Source organism: Homo sapiens, chromosome 1, assembly GCF_000001405.40.
Source record: "Homo sapiens chromosome 1, GRCh38.p14 Primary Assembly".
Taxonomy (NCBI): Eukaryota; Metazoa; Chordata; class Mammalia; order Primates; family Hominidae; genus Homo; species Homo sapiens.
Window position 1 is genome coordinate 144,053,407 of NC_000001.11, and position 21,987 is coordinate 144,075,393.

General features: G+C 42.3%; 1 pseudogene across 1 annotated transcript in view; it reads left to right on the forward strand.

Annotated features, from left to right (window-relative positions):
• Positions 1 to 16,298, forward strand: part of SRGAP2D (SLIT-ROBO Rho GTPase activating protein 2D (pseudogene)) — a 97,066-nt pseudogene extending 80,768 nt beyond the window's left edge. The window contains exons 4-8 of the transcript NR_120535.1: positions 1,032 to 1,247; positions 1,887 to 2,015; positions 9,767 to 9,988; positions 13,595 to 13,696; positions 14,723 to 16,298. The product of NR_120535.1 is annotated as an SLIT-ROBO Rho GTPase activating protein 2D (pseudogene) (transcript). The remainder of the gene's footprint in view (positions 1 to 1,031; positions 1,248 to 1,886; positions 2,016 to 9,766; positions 9,989 to 13,594; positions 13,697 to 14,722) is intronic.
• Positions 16,299 to 21,987: the final 5,689 nt, after the last annotated feature.

The window sequence follows — 21,987 nt, forward strand, 5'->3', positions numbered from 1 at the left end:
TCCCTCTCAAAGAAATCTTATGGCATCACACTTTCAGCACTCGTGAACTCCCTGTGTGGAAACAGAAAGTTCCCACAGAGTAGAGCAGGCACTAGGTGGCTGGAAGTAGTATGTTTAGTAGGATTGGAAACAAGCTTGAGTTCTAGGCTTCCTGGCTTCCCTGTTAAGAGAAAGGATTGGACTCCTAGATGGTTGCTTTGATGGAAAATCATCCTTCACCTTTTATACTACTTCCCTCCTGTGGCAATTCCAGTTATACTTGATATGGATTTTATTCCTTCCCAGACTCTTACCTGAATTGTTTTGAAGGCTTACAGTCTTCATAGGGTTGTTGTCTAGATTGTGGAATTGTCCTAAGGATGAAATGAGAAAATGTGTTGTGTGGTACTTGGCATAAAGCCAGGAATATACTAAGTGCTCAGTAAATGATAACTGGCATTGCAATTGCTGCTGCTGCTTTAGTTGCTGTGAGAGGGTGTTTGATCTGGATAAAGCAGAACAGACAGATCCCCAGAATGCCAGGCCGGTAAAAGGAGCTTTTGGAAGCTTTTCCTCTTCCCTATTTTATATCTGAAAGGTAACAGAAAGCATAGGCTACTCCATAGGCTGCACTGCCCTCTTCGGGGTTCCTGACCAGCCCAGAAAGGCTTTGCCCTTGGGGCCTGAGAGTGGTGGTGTTGTTTCCCATCTACTCAGTATTATGAGGTGACTAAGTGATAGAAATCACCTGGCCAATATTAAAGAGAAATGATTACAAATGATAATGAATAGAAATAAATAATACATGATGGATAGACATTAAGTTATTTCAATAAGAGGAAATGTTGGCTCAGTTCACATATTGCTTTCCTGTGCTTTGGAGTGGTCTTTAATCTGTGTTTGCTGAACCAAACACTTCTGGATTTTTCCCTTAGGGGTGTGAGGATATTGCTTCATGGGGGAGAGCTCCAGCTGAGTCTGGTAGTCTGTAAAGCAGAGAAATGACCCCCTTGGCTTGACCTCTGGGGGTGGGGGTGGGCGATGTCTTGCAGGTCATGAAGACATATCACATGTACAATGCCGACAGCATCAGTGCTCAGAGCAAACTAAAGGAGGCGGAGAAGCAGGAGGAGAAGCAAATTGGTAAATCGGTAAAGCAGGAGGACCGGCAGACCCCACGCTCCCCTGACTCCACGGCCAACGTTCGCATTGAGGAGAAACATGTCCGGAGGAGCTCAGTGAAGAAGATTGAGAAGATGAAGGAGAAGGTATGTAGGCTCCCACAGCTGTAGATGCTGGGAAGCAACATTCGGTAAGGCATGGCTGATAGGAATTTCCCAATAGTCACTGGGAAGAGCAGACGAGGAAGCTCTGGGTTCTTTTAGTGCCTAATGACTGAAAATGAGGCCTTGCTCTGTGCCCTGGCAGGAATACTAGGTATTGGAAGAACTGGGCACGTGGGATCCAAGTTTCTAGCCTCTAGCAGAAAACCAAGAAACAGCAGTCACCTTTCCCAATCCATTTTCCAAATAGAGCTCAATATCCTATTGCTTTGGAGGGGTTGGGGGTGACTGTAAACCCAGGATTTGGTTTCAGGTATCAGGTGTTCAGGGGCAAGAGTAGTGGTACCTCCTTCAGAGTGGCATTGCAAGAATGAAGAATGATATTTGAAGATAGAATCAAAGTGGGGCACGCATCTTAAGTAGGGAGCCTCATTAACCTTTCCTGAATTGATCTACATTGTGCCCTTGAATCTCATTAAACAGAATTAGAACCCAATTTAAGGCAGATGCGCATAGGGAGTAGCAACACAATTGTAGTTCTTGAATACACTGTACTTTTATCTTTTAGAGAACAAGCCCCCCTTAAAAAAAAAAGGTAAAAGTGAACTTCTGTTTCCTTTTCAGCACCAAGCCAAGTACACGGAGAATAAGCTGAAGGCCATCAAAGCCCGGAATGAGTACTTGCTGGCTTTGGAGGCAACCAATGCATCTGTCTTCAAGTACTACATCCATGACCTATCTGACCTTATTGATGTAAGTGCTTAAAGCCAAGGGCCTGAGGGCACCTCTTTTCTGGTTTCAGAATACTCGTCAGACATTCCCCGATACTATTGTTCAGGAATCTGGTGCATTTTGAGAACAATTAGGAAGATAGCAGCCATGATCCATCAGGGTGCTTGCCAAGCACCAAGTGAAACACTTCACACTTATTCAATCCTAACTGGAATTCTGGGAGGAAGGCATTATTATCTATATTTTTACAGATTAACAGAGAGTTTAGATGACTTAGTCAGAGTCAGTTAACAAATGACAGAGGCAAAATTTGCACCTAGGCCTGATGACTCAACCCAGGCTCATAACCACTACACTAGTCTATCTGCCAGGAAATACTTTCTTCCTTTTTTTTTTTTTTTTTTTTTTGAGATAGAGTCTTGCTTTGTCCCCCAGGCTGGAGTGCAGTGGTGCAATCTTGGCTCACTGCAACCTCCATCTCCCAGGTTCAAGCAATTGTCCTACCTCAGCCTCCCCAGTAACTGGGACTACAGGCATGCATCACCATGCCCAGCTAATTTTTGTATTTTTAGTAGAGATGGGGTTTCACCATGTTAGTGAAGCTGATCTGGAACTCCTCACCTCAGGTGACCTGACCTCAGGTGATCCACCTGCCTCGACTTCCCAAAGTGCTAGGATTACAGGTGTGAGCCACTGCACCCGACCTAGGAAATACTTTATTACATCAGCTTCTCTTGCACAGAAGTGAGTGGCAAGAACTTAACTAAAGAGTTACAATGCCATCCCTTATATTTGTATAGCATTTAAGGTTTCTCGGTGTTAACTCATTTGACTCTCACATCACCATTATGGGTAAGCATTGCTGTCTCCAGTTGCTAGATAAGGAAGCTCAAGGTCCAGAGGACTAGGAGACTCACTTGTCCAAGGTTATGCTGCAAATTAGGGTCCTGTCAGGAAGGTATCCAGCTCCCCCTGACATCTGGCCCATTTTTAAAAATATGTGATGCAAAGGGGATTGAGGAAAGCGGTTAATAGGCACATGTGTTTTGCAAGGGGCAAGCGCAGGGATAAGCTTTTTGTTTTTTGCCTGTGAGTTATTCTTGGCCTTGTTTTTCCTGCTGCTTCCCCTTACAGTTGGGTCTTACAAGCCCTCTCACCTACAGACTCCAATCTGGCCCAGGTCCTGAGCCACACCTAAGTGAAGCTATGTAATTACACCCTTTCTCACCTCTCCTTCCAGTCATCAAAGTGAGGCATCTGGAGCCAGCCAATTTAGCATTCCAGTCTCTGGGGCTTCAAGTGTATCTCATCTTGGAGGCCTGCCATTTGTTTCAGGGTCTTGTTGGCAGCAGTTGGGCTTTGCAAAACTCTGGCCCGACCACTCTTGCTTTCCTGCCTTGGTTTCTCCACAAGCAAACCTGCCACACCTCACAACATCATATGGGATTTGGGTCCGAGTCTTGCTGTTATATCACCACCTGGGTCATCTAGGCTTGTCACTGAATTGTTCTGGAACCCAGCTTTGTTTCTCACCCACTCCCAAGCTCCTCTAGCTAACTGAAGAACTGGACTAATTCCCTGGTATTAAAATTTGGCCTCACGTAAGAGTTGCTTGGGGAACTTCTCTAAAATACAGATTCCTGTCTCCCTTTAGCCGAGGATTTTTGATTCAGTAGATTTCAGCCACTTAATGCCCTAGGTGTCATTGTCTCACTGGGTTAGTAGAGCCTTGCTCCCTGTTCTGGTACCTCTTTGTTCTCTCTGCTTGTTGATGACAATCTGAACACTGTCCTTCAATGGAGGTCAAAGCCCTAAACAAGATCCTTTCTCCTCCTCAGGGGAAGAGCTCCTCATTGTTGGGAGAGAGGCCTGTTCTCAGCATAAGGAAGAGAATCCATTCTTTCTTATGCACAATTTCTGCTATTTATCTCGCATTTGGTAAAAATTCAGACTGTGCTGTCTGCCACACCGCTGCTATTGGTTAGCCCTCTTCTCTTTTTTTGTACTCAAGGCAACTTCCCTACCTTTTTCACCAAAATACTGATCTCAGGGGAAGGGAGGGGTTACTGCTGTATCAGCCACAACCTTTGCAATCCATAGATTCTCCATCAGGTATAACCAAGCGTTTTAAAATCAGTCCAAGAAGCGAGGTATTTTGTACCTTATTTTCATCATTTAAAAAAAAAAAACGTCTGCTAAGAGCCTAATTTCACAGGATGTGGTGTGACATGCCATTGAAAAAGAGGCTGCCTTAGTACTTGGCAGGGTGTGGGTCTAGATCACTGGGATCAAAAGGCTACATAGGTAGTAATAAAGTTTCTCATGTTTCTTTTTTTTTTTTTTTTTTGAGAAGGAGTCTCTCTCTGTCACCCAGGCTGGAGTACGGTGGTGCGATCTCGGCTCACTGCAAGCTCTGCCTCCCAGGTTCACGCCATTCTCCTGCCTCAGCCTCCCGAGTAGCTGGGACTACAGGCACCCGCCACCACGCCCAGCTAATTTTTTGTATTTTTTTAGTAGAGACGGGTTTTCACTGTGTTAGCCAGGATGGTCTCGATCTCCTGACCTCGTGATCCGCCTGCCTCAGCCTCGTTTCTTTGCTGCTGTTTTGGTTGTGTCTTGTTTTAGTTTGTTGGTTGGTTGGGTTTTTGTTGTTTTTCCTGGGATATGGACACATTCATTATTTTTTTTAAAGTTGTATTATTCTGCTCTATAAATGTTCAGTAAATATTTATTTAGGGAGAAGCCACGTGCTCAGTATTGGGGTAAAAATGGATTATAGTAGTTCTCACCCTAGAGGTAGTCATAGGCTGTAAGACAACATTTTTCAAACCATTGGTCAGATCCCTTAAGAAAGTCAGGAAATCACTTTTATTGGTTTAACCTGTGTTTTCAGATGACTAGATGAGACTAGAATAAGAAAGAAAATATTAGAGTACATCACATTGGTAAGATTATGTGAAACTTTTATGTTAGATATGTATGTACACACTTGTACATCCTATGGGGGAGTGTGTGACAATAGAAGATGTGTTTCTTATTGTGAGTTGGGAGTCAAAAAAGTGTTTGTGAGCCATTGTACTATGAACAGAGGAAGATCTCAGTCTCATCTGTTAAGTTCTGTGAGAGCAGGAACCAAGAGTTTTCTTTACCTTAGTAGCCTCCAGTGCTTAATATATAGCTGAGCACATAGTGTGTTTACTGAAGGAAGAAAGGAATAGAAAGAGGAGGAAGATGATCATCTAAGCTAAGATCGGTTTTTCTTTTTGTACCTTTCAATATGGTTTTGAAGTATAATTTACATACAGTAACTAAACTTAAGTGTTACAGTTTCAAGAGTTTTGACAAATTTGTACATCTTTGTAATCTATGTCAAGATATAGAATAAATATTTTGATAAGAGATATCTTTCCATTGCCTCAGAAAGTTTCTCTTGTCTCTTCCCAGCCAATCCCCCACCCCAAGGCAACCACTGTTATGATTTCTTTCACCATAAATTAGTTTTGCCCGTTGTAGAACTTCACAAAGATGGGATTATCCTTTTTTGTGTCTGGCATCTTTTGCCAACATGATGTTTTTGAATTTCATCCATGTTGTTTGCATGTATCGGTAGTGTCTTTCTTTTTCTTGCTGACCTATGAGATAAAAAGGGCCAAAAGGATGCAGTTAGAGCAGGACTAAGTGAGGAGCCTGGGATATTGGCATCCTGATCTTAACATTATTCATTACTTGCTTTAAGACATGGGATGAATCCTGTTGCAGTCCATTGCCATCTGTGTCATGTACAGCCTTCTGCCTCCTTCCTAGTGGTTCTGAAGCCAAATGTGTGCATAAGGCATTGAGGATAAGTGAAAAGAAGTTATTTTTGTTGATGCCATTACATTGACCAAGGACTAGCCTCCGACTTCTTTTTATAGTATAGTGCAAGATTTAAACTTCAGACTGTAGGAATCCACGTGAGGCATCTGCCACACTGGGGAAACCTTGACTTCAGGCCAAAAAGACGTTCTGAGCTCATTTGATGGCATCTAAGAACGGTAGGCTCACTGGAATATAATTTTCCTCCCCCATACTCTTCTGGCTCTCTCAACCCAGGAGCAGATGGATGAATGAAGAACAGGGCATTGTCCTCATGCATAGCTGGAGTGTTGTAAGTGCCGTGTACATGTATGGAAGGTCTGTGACACCATGTGCACCCAAGTCGGACATGAGGGAACTTGGCTGTTTCAGTAAGAAATGTCATTAAGGGCAGTTATTTTTCTCTTTTGTGTGAACTTGAAGTGGGTGTTGTGAAACACCCATTTTTCCTTTCCAGGCCTTGTGGAGTCTCTGGGTGAAGATATCAGCTGGGAAAGGGTTAATGAGCTATCAACTCAAGTCATCATACATCTGGATGGGCTGTCATTAACTTCTTACGAAAATTTGATTTCCCCTGAGAGATTTTTCATCAAACATTTATATAACCCAGAAATGGCCAGGGGAGTCCAGCGTGGCCACAGAACTCATCAGAAGCCATGGAAAGCCTGCTTTGTCCCCACTGTGAGCAAAATAATGTGCTTCCTGTACTTATTGGGATTCTTCTTGGAACAGGATGAAATATTCAAATCTCATTTACCCAACCTTGCCAGATATTGCTTCTTCGCTGAAGGCTCGGTTTCTGGCTGTTTCCCCTACAGGTATATAGATAGTCAAGACTCTGGAGAACCTCTTCCGAATCTGCCTGGTTGGCTAGAGGTGTAGAGGAGCCAGGGGCACATTGTGACTCAGACCCTCACTCATTGGCACAAAGAAGCTACAGAATAGTTATATAAACAGAGGCAGTGCGCCAGCCTGGGAAAACTCCCAGCCTCCCTTTGGCCATAGAGTAAGCAAAACAAATGGCTTCACTGGCCCCATCTACCCACTTGACTTAGGTCAGTATTCAGCCTAAATGTTTTATTTCCTGAGAGGCTGGAATCTGTATTTGTGGTATCAATCAGTCAACTGAAATTTATTAAATGCCTGCTGTGAGCAAGGCCTAATGCTGAGGGATGTAAAGAAGAGTGAGAAGCTAGTCTGGTTGGGGTGATATGACATGGCAAATCATAGAATGAAGAAGCGTATTCCTTGTCATATGAAAGCTGCAGATTAGTGTGGTTCTAAGTAGAGGCCAGGGTCACTGGAGTCTAGGATTGCAGGGTTGGCTGGCTTCCCAGAGGCTAAGAATTTAATTTGGATCTTGAAGATCTGGTCCAATTCCAACAGGTGAGAGGCATAGGAAACATTTAAGGAAAAGGACATTCTGGGAGCTGAAGGGCAGAGGTCAGTGGATTTGGAGCTATATTAGTATTTTTTTAAAGTGTCTACATGGTACCAAATATCTGTAAATATATTGCCTGTTAGCCTACAACAACCTGTGTGGCTGGTGTTATCCTCATTTGAGGCCCAGAGGGATTAAGTAGCTTGCTTATGGCCATAATAGCTGATTTGAAGACTAATACTCTACCCTAAACAGAGAGTATCTCATTGGATTAGAGCAGATGAATCTGAAGAAGAAAATAAAGGGAGTTGATGTTGGATGGGTAGATTGAAGACAGATTACAGTTTGTTCTGGCTATTGAACCTTGCTCAAATTATTTAACTTCACTGAACCTCAGCTTTCAAGCCTGGAAAATTAAGATTATACCAACCTCATTGGGGTTATTATGAGGATTAAAATGTAGAATGTATATAAAGCACTTAGCACATGGACTGACGTATAGTAAGCATACTTAGTGAAATAGAAGCATTTTTTAAATTTCAAAACTGAGGAAGGTGGATTTTACCTTGGGGAAAAAAAATGAGAGGTATTTTAGGTTCTTCAACAGGAAAGTGCCATAATTAAAGTCACAGTTTAGGACAGTGAAGCTGACGGTGAGGGTATGAATAGGGGTAGAGGTAGTAAGAATGGAGAGGAAAGGGAAATTACTAAAAACAGGTAAAAGTTTTTTGAAGGGTAACTTTTCTCTCCCAGATTCTACCCCCTGCCCACACCCCCTCCACCCACACTCATACACTCTGTGGGCCGTGTTACTTCTGTTCATTAGACTTATAGGCATAGAGCTCATCAACAGGGTCTACATAGAGCTAGTCAGGAAGGTTTACAGGTTCAAGGGCAGCCTGGTGAGACCAGCAGCATCTCCCAGAGAGCCCATGCCCGTGCAGCGTCCTAATGAGCCGCTTTTGTCTAGCTTCCATTTGCTCTTCCCTCCCAACTGAATTTAATGTCTTTCCATCCTCTGCCTCTAGTTAAGTTGTAACTGCTGTTATTCCACTGCAGCCAGGCAGCTGCCAGGGCCTGTTGGCACTGAACCCAGAGCCCAACCCAACTGATGTTCTCACTGAGCTTCTTGTCAGATGCCAGGAAAGAGGAGGCACATCATATTCCTTTTCTTCCCCAATAGTAGCTGCTTCCAGTGTGATCATGATGAGAGGAAAAGGCTGTGGGGAGAGTTAATTTGATGCTTGCTTGTGCAATGAAATGGCAATCAGGCAGATGGCCTTACTCTATGCATAGATTCTTCTTTGAGGTTTCTTCTCAGGACCCGGACCTCAGAGCTGCTTAAGCAATAGAGAGAATGATGGATGGCCAAGGAATTGGGATCTCTGGGTCTTTTGGGAGGGATGGGGAATATTATCACAGAGTTACAGAATGCCATTGCTGAAGAGGGCCTTAGGGATTACATTTAGTCCAAGGATTTTCAGACTTTTCTCTAACAGAAGAATTCTTTCTTCAAACCAAACCTTACATAGAATCCCTAAATATTAAATAGAAAAAAGAGCAGGGTTGGCTTGGTTGAAGGAGGAATAGAAGACTCCAAGTCCTAGTAGTTGGGTTGTCCTTTTACTCACTTCTCAAGGGCAGCTTCAGTGCCAGCTCTGGTCTACTGCTTGAAAGCCACTAGCCTGGCCAAATCTGTTCATTTTACTATGGAAGAAACAGGTCCAGAGAAGGGGAGTGGCTTTTCCAAGGTTGCTTGATTCTGCGCCAGTGCTTTTTTTATACAGTTGCCTCTTTTTGCATTTTGTTGTAAAAAATCAGAATCCTTTACATGGCATGAATTTTTCCAGTAACACTTTTGCGTAGAGCTTTTTAGTCTTATAAATGCTATTTCTGTAGTGCAGGGGCATCTGTTGTCAGATGCCAGGAAGGAGGAGGCATGTCAGAAACCCTAGTCTGCAGCTAAGGCCTGTCCTAGGATGTTGGGCATTGGTGGGGATGATGACCCACAGAGTCAGCTCCCCATTCTCTCCTTCTCCCATCTAGAGTTGAGCTTGCATACATTAGCTGCTGTTGCAATACTCCTGCTTTCAGAACCCTGAAATGGCCTGGCTTGGTTGCTATATAGTGATTTAACCACAGTAACCCTCAGTGAGTGGCAGGTTGTATTTTTATTGTTGAATTTTGTTATAATGACAACACCAGATAAACCTGAAAACGAAAGAGGATTCTCTTTAACTCTCAATTCTTCTCATGTTTATGAAATAGCGCTTAATTAAATAATGTCATTTTATCCTTATGAGTCTTCTTCCTCCTAACCACCTCACAGCCCTGTAGGGTGTGTTTAACCGTTGAATTGGGAGTCAAGAACTGAGAACTCTCACCCAGACCTTGGAAGTCGGAATGTCAGCCGTCTTTCTACTGCACAGCCAAGCCTATTGATGTGGTCAGATCTGCCCTCTGGACCACCTTCCTTTTCTGCCAAGCCTTGGGGCTGTCCATGGTGTGCTCATGTGCCTTCTCCTTCCCACAGCAGTGTTGTGACTTAGGCTACCATGCAAGTCTGAACCGGGCTCTACGCACCTTCCTCTCTGCTGAGTTAAACCTGGAACAGTCGAAGCATGAGGGTCTGGATGCCATCGAGAATGCAGTAGAAAACCTGGATGCCACCAGTGACAAGCAGCGCCTCATGGAGATGTACAACAACGTCTTCTGCCCCCCTATGAAGTTTGAGTTTCAGCCCCACATGGGGGATATGGTGAGGCCCTTTCCCTATACCCCCACCCTCAAGGGGCTTGAGTGGACTTGTCTAGATTAATTACACAGAAGGCACATTATTCTGGGGTGGGAGAGGCCTGGGCCCGGCTTTTTGTCAGGTGGGTGAGGCACATTCCCCTTATTGAGCAAACAGTTAGTGAGTGCCTGCTGTCAGACACTCGGGCTTGGGTGCAGACATGGGGGATTAAAGCCCTCGGGGAGCTTACAGTCTGGGGAATAAGGTCGCTAAGGCTTGAGGAGGGTTCGAACTATGCATAGAGAGGGGTATCCAAAGGGGCCCAGCAGGATCAAAGAAGGTGAAAAACAGCAGGTATATTCTAAAAACTACCAACAGTTCAGGATGGTGAAAGGAAAGTGAGGGAGGGGGGCGCTCCCAGTGGTGAGGCTAGAAGAAATGAGAGCTGAGGTGGGGCCACATCCTAGAGGCTTTAGTGGGGAAGCGAGGGCTAGGCAGGGAATGCTGTGATCTTTTGGCATTTGGCAGAGTTCTGAATAATCTTATTCTCCTGAAGTTAGAAGACTGTGATGAAGTGTATAGTTTTGTTTGGGTATTGAATAAAAAAGAATGGGTACCTGCAGGAAGGAAAGGAGCTAAGATGCTATCCCAAAGGCCTGATGCTGGTTGTCCAGACAGGGGAGCATGAACATGGGGGCCTTGTTTTGGACTCTTAGCCTCCAGTGACTAGAATAAAAAGGGCCTAAAAAAGCTAAAGTGAGAGGCAGGAGAAGCTCCTGGGTTTTCATTGTTCTGAATCTTTTGGTTCCACTTGTGTGGTTGTGTGTACAAGTCAGAGTGAACCTCATTCCTGTGGATAAGAGCCACCATTTCTCCTACTGGTGAAATTAGAAGGAGGTTGTATAGGGCTTATGCGATAGAAAAGATCAAGATGGACCTTTGGGTATAGTTGGCTTTAGGAGGAGGAATTTTACCAAGACACTGTTTTGCTGTCTCTGTACTACTTCCTGTGTGTTAACTCCATTCTCAGACAGGCCATTCTCCCATGGAGGCAAGGTGACTGCATTTCCAGCCTTCCCTGGTAGGTTGAAATCTAGTGGAAAGAGTCTCTGCCTCCCTCCTCAAAGCCCCCATAAAGTTTGTGTGTCTCATTGGTTTTGATTGGGTAAAGTGCTTATGCCTGGGTCCATGCAAAGCACGTGGCCTGAGTTGTGGAGTGGGAGGTTCCCCTCACCGAGGGCAGTTAGACCAAAGCTACCAAAAAAAGGAGGAGTGGACGCCGGGGACCAAAAAACAGCAACATGTGTGCTCCTCAGGAATGATGCTTCCCTTAAGATTAGCATCCAGACTCTAGAAATCCCCACTCCAGAATGACAGCTGTGGCAGTGGAACCAGAGGATTTGCTGTCATCAGTTGGCCTCTATGGAGAGTGAGACGCTGTCCTGGAGATAGAAATGTGGAGTTGGTTTCCTTCCTTTCCTTCTTGGGGAAAATCAAACCATTTACAGTTCATTTCCATTGCTGTGGCTTAGGAAATGTCAGTGTCTGAACAGATGGAGAAGTGAGATGGCAGCATGTGCAATTAGAATTGGGGGAAGGGGTGTCACCAAGCCTCAGGAAGCCCCATTCCTCACCTGCCCTGGCTTCTGGTCAAACTTGCCTTCCAAGCACCTTCTCCAGCTGTCACTGAGGTTCCTTCCCAGGGATCAGTGGAACTTGGGGACCAGCTGAGTGGAGTGATACATTTTCTGGTGTTAGTGACTGAGTTGCCTTCTGAGCCAAACAGCTTGTCTCCATAAAGGAGGAATCCAGATGCTGGGTGCTCAAGCCCCCTCCTCCCCCTGTCAGAGCCTTATTTCCATACTCCGGAGTGCAGCTGAAGTGTATTACCTTGCACCCTGGTAGCGGACCACTGCCAAAGCATGCATCATCATCAGCTCTGCTACTTCTTAAAGGAACAGGCTTGGAGGTGGTTTTTCCCTCCATGATTCCTCTCTGCTAGGTCTGGGTTACTTTAAAAATCAATAGCTCACTCTTCTGCCAGGGCCCTCCCTTTATGTAATATAGCTGATCAGTGGCTGAGCCAGGCAGGGGCCAGGACCAGTCCTGGAGCTTGTGAAGGTTCCGCATTCTAGCCTAGCCTTCATATGAGTGAAAATAAAAAGAGATGAGAGGGTGGGTCATTCTTGGCCTCTGCAGCCAGTCTATCCCCATCAGTGTGGGTTGTCTGCAGATTGTGGAGGCAACAGGAGGGAGCTGCCTGGAAGTCGTTGAACTAGGGCCAAAGATTGGGTAGCATTTTGACCGGAAGCCTTAAAATTGGCCAAGGTCCCACACTAACTGGTGTTCTGGGGTGCACAGCACATGAATTGATGCCAAGTGCTCTCAGATGTACTAGGAGGAGGTGCTTGGCTCCATTTTTGGTGCCCTCAGAGGCTGTGGGACTCTGGATGCCTGACTGGTGACATCAGGCAGCCAGAGAATTTCACTCTTGGCGCTAACCGGTTCTGGCCACTGAGCTTTCTCCATTGTGTCTGCTTATCCAAGAGTTAGAGTGAAGTCAGCTCTCTGTGGATCTGAGAGTTGGCTCAGGCCAGCCTCTCAGCTGGGGGAAGAGGTCAAGTCAGTTGGGAGCTTAAAAGCCAATGGAGGAAAAGGTCAAGTCCCAGCCCCCTCCATTTGAAGAAAGGTTTTTTCTTTTCAAGCAAGGGAATGGTCCGTGGGCATGTGAATGTGCCCACTCTTTGCTGAGGAGGAAGGAGGCCATTTCTATCCAGATGTCTCTCTGCAGGCAAGAGGCTAAAGGACGAACGGTAACAAGGTGACAGGAGCTGTCTCCACATGGGTCCTGCCTCCCAACTCTCTCAGCCTTCTGCTCCTCATCTGTCATCCAGGGGACTGTGGATGACCTCATCCCATAACCACATCTCCAATGGGAGACAGTGGAACAGCCATTCCTTCACACAGGGGAAAGCTAATTGGCAATAATCCTTGCGGGAAGGTCAGACTCCTCTCTTACAGATCTAGGGAAGGCCTGGTAAAATGATGGCTCTTTGGAAAATGCCAAGCTCCTTCAGATTCCATACCCTCTCGGGCCCTCTAGCATAGGCAACGAACTTGTTCCTGGCTTCACGCTTTCTCATTGAATCAAAGCTCTCGTGCATGGCCTGGATTTGTAAACACATGCTGGCTGCCAGCAGTGGCAAGTTAGCCTCCTGACCCACTTCTCTCCTGCTTTCACTCTGGTGTATGAAGGGGGATGAGGGAGGGGCCAGAGAGGTGGCCACTTGGACCTTTGGCAGGAAATCTTCACTGTGCCAAAGCATTGTGTTTCTGGAGCCGGAGCTGCCTGAGGCACTCTTCTCCAGCCTCCTCAGCCTTCCATGGAGCTGCAGACCCTACCTAGACCTACCCCTGCCGGGCTCCAAACAGATCCCCCTACCCATTCCTTTCATGTACTGTTTGGTCCTGGAAGAGGCTCACACAAGTTGGCTTTGGGTTTTGCTTCAACATAGAAACCACGAGCCTTATACCTTGAATATGGGTAGTTTCATTGCCAGTAATGGGAACTCTGGAACTGCCAAAGGGACTGTATCCTCTTTCTGACCTGGTGTTGCTTTCTTTTGTTAGGCTTCCCAGCTCTGTGCCCAGCAGCCTGTCCAGAGTGAGCTGCTACAGAGATGCCAACAACTGCAGTCTCGCTTATCCACTCTAAAGATTGAAAACGAAGAGGTGAGTTTCTTCCTTAGGAGGCTCAAAGCCACACTCTTAGTTTCCCTGTTGAAACTTTTGCTGCTGCCCGTCTGGGAGCAGGTGGAAGGAGCATGCAGAGAATGTCCGGGCGGCCGCAAACATTTCCTAGCCAAATGTAGGCTTGGACTTTCCCCCTCTGCTACATCCTGCCCTTGAACTCCAGGAAGTTGCTCTTGCATTGCCAAAGGTTGTGCTCTATTTTGAGCTTTTGCGAAATGCTTTTTTTCCCCTCTACACATTTAATCAAAATGGCACTTGGCAGCTGTGTGAACAATATTGTGTCTCTGAAACCACCTCCTCATGCCTAGCTTTTTCCAGCATGTTCAAACAAACAGAGGCCTTTGACTTTGACACTTCAAACATCTCCATCCTCTTAGGAAAGGGTGAGTTTCTTCTGGGCTCAGTGTATTTGCTTTCAAAAAGCGGTTCAAAAGGGCGGGTGATCCAGCTTTCTGTTGAGCTCAGATGGCTTCTTACCTTGTGTCTCAGTAAGTCTTACTTTCTGCAGGAAGATCAGGAAGAAGTAGGGATAGGTCACTTAGTTTGCAAATGAGCAAACAAGTTCATCAGTTTGTTGAAGGTCATGAAACAGAACCTGGGGCTTTGCAGTACTAGGCCCATCACACATTTTAATTAGCTGTTTGTATGAGGGGGTTGGTTTAGATTTATTTTATTCTCTTTCCCTTAAAACTTCTATTATAATATTGTTATATAATATTATAATAATGCTAATATTAAATTTTAAAAGTAAACATTAAAAGATCTGGGTCAAGTACATAGCATGAAGGGTTGTAGTGGCTTTTAGGTTTTCATTGTAGAGAGTAGCATGCTGTAGCAGAGTCCATGTGATGTTTACCTCTCACTTAGCACTGTCCAGTGGGAAGCAGAGCTGCACACTCTGATGGCATCCTGTGGCCTTCCCCAGCCCACTCTCTTCAAGCTTCTCCATCACCTGCTGTTTAACAACCCACCCTTCATGCATCCTGTTGGCCCTTGTCGTGGCAGGTAAAGAAGACAATGGAGGCCACCCTGCAAACCATCCAGGACATTGTGACTGTCGAGGACTTCGATGTGTCTGACTGCTTCCAGTACAGCAACTCCATGGAGTCCGTCAAGTCCACGGTCTCTGAAACCTTCATGAGCAAGCCCAGCATTGCTAAGAGGAGAGCCAACCAGCAAGAGACAGAGCAGTTTTATTTCACAGTAAGGGAGTGCTATGGCTTTTAAAGAGCGTCAGCATGCACTGCAGCACTCAAGGGAGATTTGGAACTCAGAGTCCTTGTTAAGTGTCTGAAGGACAGGCGTTGAATATCTTAGATACGAATGTGGGCATACTCAGAGACCATCCCTACAGTTAAAGGTGCAAACATTAAAAGTTGTATATGTCTAACAGGGATCCGCCCAAGAGAAAGGATGCTCCCAAGTATACAACTAAGAAGATTTTCTTTTTTAAGAAATTTTTAACTAGCTAGTAGGCTTTCACTGGAAAGTTTCCTTCTCAGGCACAGGGGATCCTGAAAGGGGAACTTCATCTTTTAGTTCTTGGAGAGTACATACAAATATTCATAATAACACATATTTTGTTTATAAAAATCTATAATCTCTTCTAGGTGATATGATGACATTATTTTATAACTTTTATTGTTGGGAAACTATTTTTTCTAATTATTGCTAAAACTTAAAGGATGGGTAATATGCAGCATTACTATTTTGCACATAATTCCAAAACATCGTATTTTCTTATTCATGTATCTCTAGTCTTCTTTTAGACAGTTGGACCCTTTTTTCTTTTTCTTTTTTTTTTTTTTTTTTTTTTTTTTTTAAGTATTGTTAACAATCCTTTGGAAGTCACTACTGGTCTTTGTGTGCTGCTTTTTAATAATTGAGTTATTTTGAGCTTGCCAAGTAGGATCTATTGCCTGGACTAAAATTTATTTCCTAATCTTCTGATGACCAAGAAAGGAAAAATTAAGTTTGCAGATGTGAGATGAAATATAGCCAGTGAATATGCATACTGATTCTGAATGAAAGGAATTAACTTTTCAGTCAAGAAACAGTCTGCATGCAGTAAATTGAATTTTTCCTGCAACTGGAATGATTTGTTTAATTCTTCTTTGAACACTGCCCTTTCTCCAGTAAGAACACTAATGATTTGCTAATATTTTTTAAAGAAATCTGTTTTTTTAATTAGTTAAGCTCAGACTTCCTCTTATTTTTTATCCTAGAGAAAACTGCTAAAAGGGAATGATATATCAGTACTATTCTTCTAAAACAACTTTTTAAAAATGATTATACAAAGCCAAATATGCTCATTATATAAAATTTAGAAGCAAAAAGAAGGAAATAAAAATTTTCCATAATTCTACCAGCTAGAGATAATGGTGTTAGAATATATTCCTTTCTAATCTGTTTTCTATGCATGCACAAACACATATGTGAGCACATATTTATAATTTTATTCTAAAAAATAGGATACTGCTGTACATATTGTTTTACAATCTAAGTCATATAATTATAATATTCTTTAAGCATATTTATGAGTAAAATATTAAAACCTATACAAAAAAATAATAGAATGGCATTTTAGCTCATTCATTGATTTTTATAAAATATTTAACACACTCCCTGGTTTGTAGTTAGCGTTCAATAAATGCTAAAAATTTATCTTCACCATCATCATTAATTTATTTATTAATCATTATTAAATTATTCATTGATCATTTTTTGAGGATTTACTATTGCCAGACACTGTGCTACAAGCTGGGAATGCTGACAGTATAAGATAAAGAGGGAAATGATGGGGGATGGGTCATGTAAAGGGAGAACTTTCATTTTTACTTCATATATATCTAAGCAGTTATAATAGGTTGATTTTTGTAATTTAAAAAATGTAAAAATGCATACATGCACTAGTGCATGAATGGCAGCCAGGATGAGTGGAATTGGAGAAGCATCACACACACAGTGACTTTTGTGTTTGATCTTGAAGAATGAGCGAACCAGGCAGGGAGTCGGGGAGGAGAATCGCATTCCTTGAGGAAAGAGCAGCATGTGGGAAAACATAAATGCACGCAATAACCTGGCTCACATGTTAAGAGAACTTTCTGACTATAATGAGGGATGTGTTGCTGCCCCAAGCTTCATTATCTAAGGAGTTTGTTGAACACTCTCTAGAGGCTTTTAATAATAGGATTGTTTAGCTGGTCTGTCTGGACTGGTTAGATATAACACTATTTAAATGACCCAATCTCATTACATTGTGAAGATTTCCATTTTTTAGGTTACGTAAGAAATTTTGGACCTAAAAATCTTGCATTTTAAGACAGTCTTTGTCAGAATTACTTTTTGGCTCTAAATGAATTCTGTAACATTTGTATTCTAAATTGACCTTTAGTAAAAGCAGGAATGGCCATATTCAAACTGGTAACCTCGCAAATCCTGCCCACCCTTTCACTTTCTGTCTCAATACATTGATGTCCTCTAACCCATTTCCTGTCTTATGTGGCTTTAGTGCCACTTATCAAAATTGTGTGCAAATTTCCTTGGCTAACAGTAACAGTTTTTGTCTGGGCTTGTCTAGCAGTGGAATTCTGCCTGAGTTCATCATTTTTGTGACTGGTACTTGAAGTGCATCAGATGATTAATTTCATGATAAGAGGGCTTTTTGGGGTGGTGAAATAGACATTTATGGAAAATGGGATACCCACATTAAGCAGGGTGACTACCTGTTTACCATACAACCCACACAAAGCCAATACAACTATAGATGTGCTTTATTTAGTCTGTTGCCTCTGCAAACATTGCCCGTGTGTTTCTCTATGCCCTTCAAAAACATCAGAGCAGCACATCCTGGAAGATCCTATCTTTTGTAAGTTTAAGAAGCAGCCTCTTGTCACAGGTTGACTCCTAGGTAGTGTGCCTAGTGACCAAGAGGGCTGCTAAGAAAGCTTTCTGACCACTTGTGGCTGTCATTGGACTGATTTGCCCAGATGACATCAATTGGGAATTTGAGGCATGACCTATAAAGATCAGTTGCTTGCAAGAGTCTCAGGAAAATAATTGTGGAGTTAAGAAACTTGAAGCGATTTTTAAAAATTACCTAACCCAACCTTCTCATTTGAAAAATTAAAAAATAAATAGGCCAGATATGGCGGCTCATGCCTGTAATCCCAGCGCTGTGGGAGCCTGAGGCGGGTGGGTCTCTTGAGGCCAGGAGTTCAAGACCATCCTGGACAACATGGTGAAACCCTGTCTCTACTAAAAACACAAAAATTAGCTGAGTGTGGTGGCAGGCGCCTGTAATCCCAGCTACTCAGGAGGCTAAGGTGGGAGGATTACTTGAACCGGGGAGGCATAGGTTGTAGTGAGCCAAGATCGTGTCACTGCACTCCAGCCTGGGTGACAGAGTAAGACTCTGCCTAAAAAAAAGAAAGATTAAAAAATAAATAAATCTGCTGGGCGTGGTGGCTCACGCCTGTAATCCCAGCACTTTGGGAGGCCGAGGCGGGCGGATCACCTGAGGTCGGGAGTTTGAGACCAGCCTGATCAACATGGAGAAACCTCGTCTCTACTAAAAACACGAAAAAATTAGCTGGGCGTGGTGGCGCATGCCTCATTCACGTACATGGGAGAGTCTACAAAGTCACACGTATTCATAGGTTAAGCCACATGCTGACAAATGTCATAAGAAGACCCTACACTTTTACCTTGGCCGATCCCTCCCCTCAGTGCAAGCTCTGTGCAAGAGTGAACTTGAACTTCACTCAGTGCAAGAGTGAACACACACTTTGTGCCGGCTTTAAAGAACCCAGCACAAAGCCAGTCTGCATGGCCTACAGACATATTTTGCTGGACAATGATTACTTGCTTTTCTTTTTGTTTTTCTTGTATTTGCCTGTTTGATTGGCTCCTGACATACCAGAAAATCACTGTCAAAACATTAGCTTAACATTTGTTAAGGAAACAAAAAGACTTCGGTGACCACACCTTATAAACCAAACAGTTTTGTAAATCACTTTGGAAAATTTCACTAAAAAAAAAAATCCTTAACAATATAATAAGTAAAGAAAATTTAAAACCACAAAACATCACTGTGTTTGTAGGGGGAGGTCTGATTTACAGAGTAACCACATAGTAATTATAATTATTAGAATGTCCAGTTTTCAAAAAACGTTACAAGGCATACAAAGAATGGGAAAGTGTGGCTCATTCAAAGGAACAAAATAAAGTGACAGAAAATATCCCTAAAGAAACCCAGACATCAAACTTACCAGACAAAGACTTTAAAACAACTGTCTTCATTATACTCAAATGTCAAAAGGAAAACATAAACAAAGAAATAAAGGAATCAGAAAAAATATTAAAAAGTAGGAATATCAGCAAAGAGATAACAAATTCTGGAGTGGAAAACTACAATGATAAAAATTTAAAAATCACCAGAGGGATTTAAGAGTATATTTGCACACACAGAGGAAGCCATGAACTTGAAGAGAAGAAAATGGAAAATACTCTGAGAAACAGAAAGAATAAAAAATAAACAATGAGCAGAGACTAATGAATCTGTGGGACATCATCAAATAGACCAACATTCATATTCTAGAAGGATAAATTATGTTGTTAAAAAGTTTACCATTCTTTCTTTTCACCTTTCTTCCTTCTTCCTTCCCCCTCCTCCTCCTTTTTACTTTTCTTCCTCTTCCTTTCTCTTCTTCTTTCTCTCCTTCATTATCCCTTTCGCTGTCTCTCTTTCTCCCTTTCTCTTTTTTCTTTTCTTTCAATTTTCTCAATTACTAAGAGATGTTTAAGTACCCTTAGCATGTTAGTAGATACGGTTATTTCTCCCTTTAGTTCTCTTTTGAGATTTATAGTCACTCAAATAAAGAGATAACCCAAACATAAGCGTCACAAACAGGCTTTCATACCATTCTTAATTTGGTCCTGTAATTCTTCATTGCTGTATTAATTTTCTGATGCTTTTAAGGATGTTTTATAACAAATTGTGTAGCTTTTTCCAATGGAATGTTTATTCTGAATTATCTAATTCATATTGTAAGTATAGAGGGAGTTTAATATAAAATTATTAAACTAATATTTGTGAAAGAATGTATTTGTGCATTTAACAAATATGTTAATCCTCAGACTGTTATTGGGCAGCTGAGCATACAGGAATAAAAATAACACAATTTTTATGTGTACAATATTTATGGAATACGTTACTGGACCCAATAAATAATTTAGTTAATAACATGACAAAGAACAGAAATTGTATACACTATAGAGCATAGTAATGGAATAATGAATGATTAAAGTTATTAATATTAGGTAGAAAATGAAGGGTATCTTTGAGAGCAGAATTCAAGGAAGCAAGCAATTCGCCTTATCAGGAAAGAGTTACCTGTGGATAAAGGAGAAACTGAAAAATTTACAAGTCAAGACTTTTTGAGCAAAAACAAAAATATGACTATTAGTCACCAATTCAGTACAGTGAAAAAAATGTTGAAGAGATATCTTGGAAGTAAACCATGTTGTGGAAGAGCATGTAGGGTTTTGATAATCATGGGATGATTCTGAATTAATTTTAAATGCGATAGGAATATATGAGATAATTTCACCAGAGAATAATATGATTGTGTTTGCATTTCAAAGGGGTGTATCTGGTGCACTGTGTAGAATAAATAGGTTATGTGAGCAAATAAATTGGGAGGCTACTCTAATCCAGCGAAAAAAGGTAGTGACTTAGGTGAGAATGCTGTCAGCATGAGTGGTAGTAGTGGTGAGAAGTCGTTAGGCCATGGATGTATTTCATAGGACTGGCCAAGAGAACTGCAGCTAAATTGGAGTGTAGGGAGTGAAATAGAGAACTCAAAGATGACTCTCAGCAATGGAAGGTGACAGCTGTCACTGAAGCATGCTGATGCCTCTTATTAAGAGAGTTACTTGGGAATGGCAAGATCAAAACTTCTCACTTTCAAATTTATGGAAAATATTGTTTTCAGAACGAGTGACTTTGGGATCAGAAAGCCACCATTCTAATTGATGGTTCCACGACTACACGGGCTCACACTCGCAAGAGCAAAAGTAAATCATCACAAAGGTGCTTCTTGATAATTCTAGAGAATGGAGAATTACTGTAACATCTTTCTGATTTTAGGAGAGGTAGCAGTTCCCTTTTTAGCCTAAACGCTATTTCTTTTTAAAGCTCAGCCAAGAGACTCCATTATAATTTTCAAATGTGTGTAACTTAAATTCTCATATGAAATACCACTGTGCTTAAATTAGTCAAAACATTTTCCCCATCTACAACTCTATCTTGTCATTGTAATCATTTTCACAAAAGTGACTGCAGCTCTCAGACCCTAAAAAGAGAAAATCCAGGGTAGTTTATCTGATCTAGTTAGTTTCGAAGACAGGATCTAGAGATTATTTAATATGAAATGGGTCACCTGAAATGAAGTGTTTACTGAAAACAGCTTGGATCAGCCCAGTTTTCTACCACTGAACCATGCATTTGGTTTAAAAAACACAACAACTCTGCGGAATATCGGCTGCTTCCAACTGTGTTGAAGGTGTTAAAGAAAAGAGCATAAAATTAAAAATGATCATCTGAGGCCTTTATAGTCTCTGCTCAAGAGACTAGAGTTTTCCATTCTTAACGGAACACCCAAATATCTTAATAATTGGGCAAAATCTAAATATCAGAGATAATTTTATCTTGAAGATTGTTAAATTATAACGGTGATTCACTAGCTTGCCACGTCTCTGAGTCAAAAATTAGGTCTTTGTTTAGGAATCAATCATAATCTGCAATTTGGAAATAGGAAGATTTTAGAAGACTCAGACATTGACTTTCTTGTGTGCAAAAAAAAAGACGTATTGAGATAAGACAAGTCTTTCCTTGCAAGGATACCTCTAATGCTCATACACCACCTCCCCTAACATTAATAGAGCTTCCAGGTCACTAACCAGTGTCAGAGAGCAGCCCACGCAACCAGAAATTCAAAAGATGTCGAACATAGGGTCAAGCTTAGAATAAGACGTCTTAGCTAATTAAGTATGCTTTTTTCCCGAAATTCATATTAACAAAATCTTGGATATGTCAGAGAATGCATTCTAAGTTCACTCAACCTAGGAGGGAGAAACATAATTTTAAATTAAGAGCTGAAGCATTCTTGTCCTAACACAAAGCAAGGAAAACGAAATATCACACCACAGGAGGGATTTCACAAATTTGCGTCAACATCAAAACCTTAAAATAGGCAAGGAGAATGCAG